The 11,505-nt window shown below is 41.0% G+C and overlaps 2 annotated features.

Moving 5' to 3' along the window:
- Nucleotides 7,027–7,528: an enhancer, noted in NCBI's record as "H3K4me1 hESC enhancer chr8:135180517-135181018 (GRCh37/hg19 assembly coordinates)". NCBI's record gives its function as "activates a minimal SCP1, AML or CMV promoter by ChIP-STARR-seq in primed H9 embryonic stem cells {active_cell/tissue: H9 hESC(primed)}" and the evidence as "EXISTENCE:reporter gene assay evidence [ECO:0000049][PMID:30033119]".
- Nucleotides 7,529–8,028: an enhancer, noted in NCBI's record as "H3K4me1 hESC enhancer chr8:135181019-135181518 (GRCh37/hg19 assembly coordinates)". NCBI's record gives its function as "activates a minimal SCP1, AML or CMV promoter by ChIP-STARR-seq in naive H9 embryonic stem cells {active_cell/tissue: H9 hESC(naive)}" and the evidence as "EXISTENCE:reporter gene assay evidence [ECO:0000049][PMID:30033119]".

An 11,505-nucleotide genomic window follows, 5' to 3' on the forward strand; every position in this document is an offset into this window, starting at 1 on the left:
CATAAATGGTGAGAAGGAATTATGAATATTTTTATCACACTGAATTTGGTGGGGTGTTTTTCCCTGTGGTGTACCTAAAACACACCGTACTTTATCTCACTTCATGCAGTTTCCTGTGCTCAGAGCTTACCCAACCTGTCATCTACCTCACTACAGCTTTATCTTCCTGATTCCAGATTGTTACTTAGTCATCACTTCCTCTAAAGAGGCCTCCATGTCATTGAATCTTGCTGTTTAGGCTCATTTCATTTTTGTTTGGGCTTATTTTAAAGTTATATAAAAAACCAATGACTCTTAAAGGGGCCTGACCATCTTCTTACTATGTAACAATAAACTAATTTTATTGGTATGGATTTAATTTGGATATCTGACTGTTCTCCTGAATTCACCTACCCCTCATTCTATTATTTAATGAGACTGATTTTTATAACCTGTAAATATACCATAGTACTAGAATTCTTAAGCCATGTAATAGCCCTCTAAAAATTAAAATCACTTCCTAGCCAGGCTAATATTTCCCTCTCCAGCCTCAATCTCTTCCCTTTGTTGAAGACAACCAGAGCCAGACACTCATTAAGGGGGTAAAGATAAATTTTATTCAGAAACCATCTTAATAGGGGAAAAGAGACTTCAGACGAGAACTGAGCACAATTCACAATACAACCAGGAAGCTTTAGGGTTTTCAGCCAAGGAGCAGGAGAGGGTGGTTAGTGGATGGAAAATTACTAAGAGGAGATATCAAGGGTAGGAGGATTCTTGCTAAACTAAAAACAGGATTCTTGCTGAAGACAGCCCAGGGTGATGAGTGGGGAGTGAGGAATGTGATCAAATATCACGGGTGGAGGCTTCCCACTAAACTGACTTAGCAGGATTCTTGCTGCAGCTGGGCTATACAATTCCAGCAAGGATGGGGGCAAAGGTTGACACCTAGCTGAGCAGGGGACTAAGAGCAGCCTGACTAAAGTTTGGTGAAGGAGAGAGTCTGTCACATTTCACCCATCAAAACCTACATTCCAGTGATGTCATTCCTCCTCTGAACTCCTTCCTCTTCAGAACCTTGGCTTATGACAGTCTCTCAGTCTGGTCCCTGTTGCTCCTCATCTCTTAGTTCGGATGTTCCTCCAGGTGTCAGGATAGACGCACCTTTCCCAGGATTTTTTTCTCTGATGCCTTCAAGTCTCAGCCAGCAGCCTCTCACAAGCACTTCTCACATGTGGTTGAAGTGATCCAGTTCACGAAACTACACATTCCTTAAAGTCAGAGGCCATGTCTGTCTTGTTCATTGTTGCATTCCTGGCATCCTCCTTAGTATCTGCTACTCTTTGGATCCACCATGTATTTATCAAATAAATAATGATCATGACTCGTACTGTATCTTAAATTCCTGTGGGGGTGACTAAACATAGAATTAGCAGCTGTTGGTATGGAAGCAAGTCCCACTTTAGGGCTCAGAAAGGCCTCTCTTGGGCCTTTTCAGAATTTTCTGTAACTGAAAATTCCCAGGGAGCTCTTCCAGGCTGGGAAGAGGGCCATTCTTACTAATTTTGTTAGGACTTAGGGGGCTGGGAGGACCAGCCTAACTAGATAGTCCAGGGAAAATTATTTCAATCTACTAAATAGGATGACTTTTCCCAGCCTACTGAAAATGAGCCCTTCCTATGGTCTGTTGCCAGGATGACTGTGCATTGGGAAAAAGGAAATACTCATACCTTCTGGGGATTACCGGACATAGGCTCTAAACTGATACTGTTTCCAGGAGAACAAAAATGTCACTCTGGCCCCACCAGTCAGTCAAAGCGGAGAGCTTAAAATCCACTGTAAGTGAGGTGATCAATGGAGTTTTAGCTCAGGCCCATCTCCTCATGAGACCATTGGATCCCTGGGCCCATCCTGTGGTTACTTTCCCAGTTACAAAAGGCATAATTAAAATAGACATACTCAGCAACTGCAGGATCCCCACTGTGGCTCTGGGAGAAGCTGACTGATCCCCCTTCAAGGGAATCCTTCAGAGAGATGACGACCACTTTTTGCAGGTAGAAGTCCAATGGTCACCCTTTTTTATTCCTTTAAAGTGTCTGATCAATGAAGTACATGTGTAAAGATCAATTGTCAAGTAAGAACAAAATGCCATCTTTATTCATCTATTTAACCATTGAAAATTTCATATTCAGGAAAAACACGAGGTTGAGCTTGTGGATAAACACTGGACAGAGACCCAAGTTATCACTCTCATTAACAAGAATCTGCTGAGAAAGATCATAGGGGCCGCCCTTCCTAACCCAGGTCTAAGAGTCACAGAGAGAACTAGGCCCGTCCATTGTGTTCTTGCTTACCAGGAGCCAGAGGACAGGAAGACCGGTGTTTACTCCTCCAGGAAGAGAAAGAGGCAGAGCAGGACATGCAATTGATACGCTTGTGCTTGTAATGCAGCGGCCCCAGCACAAGTAAAGCATGACCCTTAAAATCCAAAAACGCTTGCAATCAGTAGGAAAATTAAAGTTCCTAGGAATATGTAGTTATATATACACATCAAAGTCAAAGAGATGCTCCAAAAATGTGAAAACTGAGAGAAGACATTTGAAGTCTTCTGGTCTAGCAAGACCCTCAACCACTAGTTCCTTCTGCTGCAGTTCTTACGGCCTCTCGTGACCACTATTAGGGATGGAGAATTATGGCCCCTGGAGGTCTGTTATTCCTTTTGTAGATGGTTTTCACTGTCATCATCCTGAGGCTGTTCCCTGTAACTTCTTCCCTTTTATGGTTTATTTTATTTTATTTTATTTATTTTATTTTATTTATTTTATTTTATTTTATTTTAATTTAATTTAATTTAATTTAATTTAATTTAATTTTATTTTATTTTATTAGATGGGGTCTCACTCTGTCACCCAGGCTGGAGCACAGTGGCATGATCTCAGCTCACTGCAGCCTCCACCTCCCAGGTTCAAGCAATTCTCCCACCTCAGCCTCCCGAGTAGCTGGGATTAGAGAGGCGTGCCACCACACCTGGCTAATTTTTGTATTTTTAGTAGAGATGACGGTTCACCATGTTGGCCAGGCTGGTCTCCAACTCCTGACCTCAGGTGATCCACCTGCCTTAGCCTCCCAAAGTGCTGGGATTATAGGCGTGAGCCACCACACCTGGCCCCTTTTACAGTTTCTGTTTTTTAATTCTAACACTTCAACTCAGAGTGTGGCCCAACAACCAGCAATGGCAAATTCTGCTTTTTAGAAATGCAGACCCTCAGGGAACACCCAAAACAATAGTAACAGCGTTTCTATTATAACAAGGTCCCCAGCATATCTGCACGCATACTAAATTTGAACATTAATCTACGCCTTAATCTTCTCAGGCTGCTGTAACCAACTACCATAGACTGAGTGCCTTCAACAATAAACATCTATTTTTTCAAAGTTTTGGAACTTGGAAAGCTAAGATCAAGGTGCCAGTAGTTCCAGTGTCCAGCCATGGTCTTCTTCTGGGTTCATGGATGGCCATCTTCTTGTTGTGTCCTCATGTGGCAGAAAGGGTAAAAAGGCTCTCAAGGGTCACTTACAGGAGTGAACTCTCACAACCTAATCACCCCCAAAGGCATCATCTCCTAATATTATCAACTTGGGGGTTAAGATCTCAACATGAATTTTGAGGGCATGCATACATTCAGCACACATGGCAATGCATTATTCCAATGTAAAAGTTGAATGTGACTTCACATATTACCCCTTCAATACTTAAAAAGGGCACCATGTCTATGTCAAAACGCATCAGGATCAGCAAAAGAAAAACAGAAGAGATCTACACTTTTTAATCGATGACAACAAAATAATTTTTGGACTTCCGATATTACACTGTAGTCCATAAATTAGACCAACAAGCCTTGGTAGGCAAAAATCAATTCTGTTTTAGTTTTAATGCTGCCATTTATGTGTGATAAGCTAAATTTGCCCAGTAAAATTCTCTCTCATGTAAAATTAAGTTAAAAAGTGAGCAGAGCCACTTAAAATAAATTGGCCAAATATTGCTCAATTTTTAGCCAGCTGTGCCCAACTCCTTAGGACAGTGATAATCAAATGAAGACATTCTCTGATGTTCTTGATCAAGCAGGAAAGTATAAGATGGTCTATTCCAAACTCTGACCTGACAACAAAGACAAGCTATAGGAAATGTTCTGGCATCCTGAGTCTAACAGACAGGTCAAGAAATAAACTAAACCAATTTGAAGAATTCTACAAAATCAGAGATGGAAGAGACTATTTATTTATTTGGTTATTTAGAGACAGAGTCTCACTCTGCTGTCCAGGCTGGTGTGCTGTGGCATGATCTTGGCTCACCGCAACCTCCGCTTCCCAGGTTCAAGCAATTCTCATGCCTCAGCCTCCCAAGTAGCTGGGATTATAGGCATAAGCCACTGCACCCATCCCAGAAGAGACTTTAGAAATGATGTAGTTCAGCCTTCTCTAACCACATATGAAAAAACCGAAAATCATAGAGATGAAGTGAAATGACTTAAGTCAGAGATAAAAATGTGACTATGGCTGTATCTCAAATTAGGAAACCTGAATGCATGTTTTTAGTTACAAGAATTTTACTTTGAAAAAATATAAAATAAATTTGCCAATCACTTCCCTTAAGACAAAAAGTAATTGGTGTGTTCTTTCATAGCTTTCTTGAGATAAAATGTATGTGCAATTCACCCATTGTAGGTATATATTTCTATAATTTTCAGTAAATTTTATAATTGTTCAACCATCAATGCAATCCAGTTTTAGAACACTTTCTACATTTCCTAAATTTCCCTTATGCTCCTTTATAGTTAAATACCTCCTATTCCCAGCCCTAGGCAACCACTGATCTGCTGTCCGTATAATTGTGCCATTTACGGCCATTTCATTGAATGGAAATGTGATATGGGGTGTTCTGTGTCTGGCTTCTTTAGTTAGAATAGTATATTTAATGTTCATCTATGTTGAAGCACGTATCAGTAATTTGTAACTTTTTATTGGTGAATAGTACTCCACTGCGTGTGGCATATCACATTTCATTTATCTGACAGGTAATAAAACTTTGGTTTGTTTGCAGTTTTGGTTATTATGAATACTGCTTCTGTAAACATTCAGGTGTATGTCTTTTGTAGACATGCATCTTTATTTTTCTTGAATAGATTCCTAACAGTAGAATTTTTGTGATACATATATCTCACAGGTTCAGGTTTAATGTTATTTAATTGCCAAACTGGCTTTCAAAGTGGTTGTACCACTTTACACGCCCACCAGAAACATACTAATGTTACGGTGGAGCATGTCCTCATCAAAACTTGGTATTATCTGTTGTTATGGACTAAATATTTGTGTTCCCCCCAAAATTCATATTGATACCCTAGCCCCCTATGTGATGGTATTTGGAGACAGGGCCTTTGAGAGGTAATTACTTTTAGATGAGTTCATGAGAGTGAGGATCTCATGATGAGATCTGTGTCCTTCTAAAAAGAGGAAGACAGACCAGAGTGTTCCCCACTCCGACTTTATTTTAGGTTGATGGGATGAGAAATACAGATTTGATTGCCACAGTGAATGAACTAAATTACTGGGAAAAACCATTTGGAACAGTCATCTATAAGAGAGCTTTAGAAGTAATAATAATAACTACCATGTTTATTTTTAGCAAGTCCCATGTGCCAGTCATTAAGCACTTAGCATATAGTAATTCATTTAACTTTCCAAAGTTAAACTTACCACACCGTCTTATAATAAATTGCCTATGAATCTTCTTTCCATGATAGCAGGAGATAGGCTTTATTCAACTTTGGATCCCCAAAACTTATCACAGCAGTTGGCACAGAATAAGTGCTCAGTGTCTGTGTGTGTGTGTGTGTGTGTGTGTGTGTGTGTGTGTGTGTGTATTTTTTTTTTTTGTTTTATTTTTGGAGACAGTCTCACTCTGTAACCCAGGCTGGAGTGCAGTGGCACGATCTCAGCTCACTGTAACCTCCACCTCCTGAGTTCAAGCAATTCTCCTACCTCAACTTCTCGAGTAGCTAGGACTACAGGCGCCTGCCACCTCACCTGGCTAAGTTCTGTAGTTTTTATAGAGATGGGGTTTCACTGTGTTGGCCAGGCTGGTCTCAAACTCCTGACCTCAAGTGATCTGGCCACTTCGGCCTCCCAAAGTTCTGGGATTACAGGTATGAGCCACTGTGTCCGGCCCTCAGCATATATTTTTTGAGTGAATAAAAGAATGAATAGGAAAGAGACATCCCATTTGCCCCACATAAGCGAATGCTTTATTGTACACTGCTTTTGCATATTTGGTATCAATTAAGAATGTGAGCTTTGAAGTCACAGACTCTGGAGCTGAATCTCCACCCCACGCCTTTGATAAGGAATATAGTTATATGATAATATTATATCAGTTAATGTCCAGTTAAAGAGAAACACTCTTGTAATTTCAAGAAGACTGGGGCTTAATGCCAGTAATTGTTTACAATGGAGTTGGAAGAGCTGAAGGTTCAGAAGAGAAGAGACTGTTACTCTTAAGTCAAGAACATTCTGCTGCCCCTTGGCTGGAGCTCATGAACACCACCAGTGCCAGGTCCCTGCTGCTGTTGTTACTACGTTACAACGCCACCACAAGCAGGAGCCCCAGAGCCCCTACTTACCCAGAAACTCACAAATCATGATCACATGCTGGAGCCCACAGTAGCCTGTCTCAAATTCACTGGCCCTGCTCCTGCCTCTGTAGGAAATGCAAAAGTGGACAAAAATAGCTCCTTTCTTCCTCTTACCTTTTTATCTCCTTTAGTGCCTCCCACTGGCAAAAACTTTAAAGGAGGTTTGCTGGCAGTGGAGTCTGTTAAATGCAATTTTTTCAGTTCCTAGCCCCAGAAGTACAGAGCAGTACTGTCCCCTGGGGAACTGGCTAACATGCAGATTTTGAATTTGCCATTGTGGTGAGGGGGTCTGGGAGTTTGTACTTCTAAGAAGCTCCCAGGTGATGCTAATGCTGCCACTCTGCAGACCATACTTTCAATTGTAAGGGGTCCCTCAACAGATGTTCTGAAGAGGGCCTATGGGTGAGAACCAGGGACAATTAGCACAGTCATCTGGGATGCATGTTCTCTCTAGGAACTTCAGCTTCCTCATGAATAAAGTGAGACAACAACGTCTGTTTTCTCTCAGATGCTGGTTAATCTCAAACTGCCTCATAATTCCCTGGATAACTACTGAAATAGAAATTTCATGTTTCTATCCCAGAGTTTCTGTTCCAATAGGCCTGGATTGGAATTCATTTTCATAAAGCTCTTCAGCTGATCTCATGGGCATATAGGTTTGGGGAGTCTTACCTACCTCATAGGATTAGGGTTGATGCAGGAGTTTTCTCGGTCACTTTGCCAGCTGGGGACCTCCAGCTGGCAACGCCCCCGCCTGGACCTTGCTTGGGCACACTTCCTGCCACAGGAGGTGGCCTGCCCACTTGGCCCACCAGGCCGTGCCTGGCTTGTGCATGGGCTCAGCCCACCTGTGTTATAGCTCATACTCACTTTCAGCAGTTCCCAAGTCCTTGTCCTACATCCAAGAAGAATGAAGATACACTGACAGTTGAAGGATAAGGAGGGTGGAGAAGAATTTTATTGAGCGACAGAATGGCTCTCAGCAGAAAGGGGACATGGAGGTGGTCTCCCACCCAAAGTCCAGTGGTTTCTCTCCCAGTGTGGCTGACTCCCAGGCTTTTATGGGCCCAGAGTAGGGGAGTGCACTCTGATTGGTTTGTGAGTATGCAGAAAAGTTAAAGGCAGCACTCAAAGGTTGGCATGACAGTGTAACATGCCAATTAGGGAAGGTAGGTATATGTAAAATAGGTGAAGGGTAGGGACAATCCGAGGAAAGCACATCAAAAGGAAAGACAGATTCTCAATCCAGTCCATGGATTTACCTGGGACTTACAGCTAGACTTTAAATTGTCTTTGTCTTGAAGGTGGAGTTTCACTGGGAACCCAGCCCTGTCTTCCTAGGCATTTGTCTGCCTCCTGCCACTCTCAGGGTGTATATTAAACCAGGCATCCTGGAAATGTCCTAGCCTAGTCCCCGACACATTTACCCGCATTGCCTCTAGCCCAAGGTGGCACCAGTAAGAATGACGTTGAGATTGATTCGTTGGCAGCACACAGATTTTCACTTTGGCTGATTATCAAAAAAGAAGAAATAAATAACATTTGAAATGGGATCTATAAGTCACAGTCAACATGTGGAGTGTGAAATCCTATGAAAAATACCAAGATCACTTTATGAGGACATGGTGCAAATGGCCCCCTAGGCAGATGGTCAAAAGCTTTCCTTCCTAGAAGAATATTTTGAGTTGAGAAATGGAATATCTGCTCTGAGCCTTGTATCGTGTTGTCAACAGAAGGAATTTCTGGCCAATTTTGTCTCTGCATGTTCTGAGTCTGACCCTTTCGTATTCTTCTGTAGACCTGATTTCATATTCCTCTACAGACCTGATTTGTCAAAGAGGCTAGTCTGTCTGGATGTCTTTATAAAACTTTATAAGGTGATTTTTGTTTTTTTGTTTTTCTTTCTCTGCTGACTAGTGTTTTTGCTTAGGAAGAACATTTTTTAAGACTCCAGACAATCAAAACTGTACAGGCTGGGTCAATCTCAAAATAGAGATTTCATGTCAAATGATTTTTAAAAAATCTTTAGAGTTTCTCTGAGATGAATGATATAAAAATGTACCTAGGAAGTAAAGTGTTTCATTAAGATATTAAGGAATCATGAGCTAACAATAACACCACCTCATACAAAATACTGCACAATATATTTAAAAGGGGGAAAAAAAACATGTAATGAAATGATGATTGGCCTTGGGCAAACTTGTGCAGTAGAGAAAACTTCTCTGTTGCAAATGTCTGATCTTATACCTCATTATCCTTGTGAAGCCTTTTCCCCTCCATTACAAGGCCTAGTAGCTGCTAATATCTGAAATAGATGAAGAAATACTGAAGGCACCCACACTGATGCATTGAAATCTAACAGATGGACTTGCATCCTGGCACCACCATTTACTAACTGGGAGACTTGGACAAGTGACACATTATCTTACACCTCAGTTTTTCAATGTGCAAAATGGGACCAAAAAAATCAAATATATGAAGTGCCTCGGAAAAGTCTGCTAATTCTTAGACCTCTTTATTGACCTTTTATCTTTGCTCTGCCGATAGAGGGAGGTCTTCCAACAAATAACTTATCCTCTCAGCTGCAATTTCTCATCTGTTCAACAAGCGTGATAATCCATGCCTTAGCTTTACCCTCAGATTGTTGGGAAGGTCAAGGGGTAAGTGGGCACACTTTGAAAGGGGTTGTCCATGGACATGGGAGGGGCCTGTTTCATTGTTTTCCATGGCCATCTTGGGAAGCAAGAGATCACAGCAACTCTTTGCCACAATGTGTGTTAGTGACCCAATGTTCAGCATTCCTGGGAGCCTGCTCATCCAAGAACAGGAGACAGTGAAGTGTTACCTAAAAGAATAATTCATCAGCAATGGGGTACATAATCATTGGCAGAATAGATATTTCTAGTTGGAGGCATTTCCCAACATCTTCCAGTTAGCACAGTACCATTCATAGCGTTGAAGCCTTATCTGGTTAAGGCCATTCCTGACACATGTATTTGCCTTTAACTGGTTTCAAAAGACTTAGCATTTGAAATTTCAAGCAAAGTTCAAGGAAGCTGTATATTTGATTATTCTCAGGTAAAATCTGAGAATGTGATTTATTTGGTAACAGAAATAGGAATTGAGTGAGCAGATAATTTTCTTTTAAGACCCCTGTATACTAAAATTCTTCCAAAATAGTGTTTCACATAACACCTGTTTGTTGTTGTTTTTATGTAAATAGGCATTTCTTCATGAAAGGATTCTGTAGTAAAATTCATTCAGGAAACACCAGTTAAAACCCAGCCAAATTTGTGCAAGACTTTGATAGTCTCTTACAGCATGCTTCATAAGACTATAAGAGCAGCTAGGTTATTCAGCAGCCTTCACACTTGTTTAGCTGTTGACCCTTCTCTCCATAGTGTTTCACTAGAAAACTGTGTTCCATTGTTCAAAAGTGCGACTTTTCAACCAACAGCATCAGCTTTACCTGACCCTTGTAAGAAGTACAGACTCCCAGGACCCATCCCAGACTTCCTGAAGCAGAATTTAACAAAAAGCCTGGGCAATTTGAGTATATATTAAAATTTGAGAAGCACCATTTCACACTATTGCAAACCTCAATTACAGATTATGGAGCAGGAATGACCACAAGGGCTTTTCTGAAAATTCCTTTCAAGTATACAGATTGAATAATAATCCCTCAAAATGCTAGAGATAGAAATCACCTTGGAAATCATCTACTTCAAAGGTTTGCAAGCTGTCTCTGAGTAGCATTAAAAGACTCGTATGTGGAAGCCCAATATAAAATGGAGAAAATAAGCAGAGCTGCTCTGGTGGAAGCCAGGGGTGGCTCCTTCTTTACTCCAACCATCCCACCACCTCACCCGGTTGTCCTCATTTGAATCCCTAGGATACCACCAGTGCGACCTATTCACTCAGGTAAATTTACAAGAAGGAAAATGACTTGCTGACTTCTACACAGCCTTTTAGGAGCAAAGCTGGGGCTACCATCCAGCTCTCTTAAATCTAGCTTTCTTCTTTAAAAATGTTACAATAATGACCTCAATGAGTATGTACCTCTTGACTTCCCTTCAACCTGTGCCCTGGCTACATACTTTTTGCCCATTAGGATGGAAACCTGGAGTTTGTTGGACCCCTAAATAGCCAATGTCCATTCTTGGGCTAGAACTCAGCCAACGTTTTTCACGTCGTCCAGAGCTTAATCACTCTGATGATGACTAATTCCCCACACGCTGTGCCATCTCACAATGAAAATGCACAGATTGGGTTATGCTCATACTTCTCAGGGGGTACTATAATCATTGAGATAGGACTAGAAAATACAACATTGCAGAAAAGCATTCTACGTGTATAGGGAGGTTGCATAAATGATGAGGTAAGGGTGCTTTGGCATACAAAACAAAGAATACATCATGATTGCTAAAACAAAGTCTTATGTGTTAATACATCTTATGAGGAATCCTGAAAGGTAATGAGTTTGAACAGCTGGGACTAAATGGCAAAGAGCTTTGAATTCTGTGACAAGATTGGATTCTATCCTACTGTTTCCAAAAGTGTGTTCTGCAGAACACGAGTTCCTCTACATGCCCTGGAATAGAAAGGTTTCTGTAGTTGAATATGTTTGGAACCTGCTTTGCATCCCTCTTCTTAGAGACTCAAATCACACATTTGCATGTTTTGTTTTGTTTTGTTTTTGAGAGCTTCAAGAAGTACTTCAGTTTTTAAAAAGCAGATTTTAAAAACCTCTCTTTTATTAATTTCATATACCATTTTTTGGTAACATCTGTTGACATCTTAGGGAATTTAATTTGGGAAATAGCACTCTAGGCAAAGG

The sequence above is a fragment of the Homo sapiens genome, chromosome 8 (genome assembly GCF_000001405.40).
Source record: "Homo sapiens chromosome 8, GRCh38.p14 Primary Assembly".
NCBI lineage: Eukaryota > Metazoa > Chordata > Mammalia > Primates > Hominidae > Homo > Homo sapiens.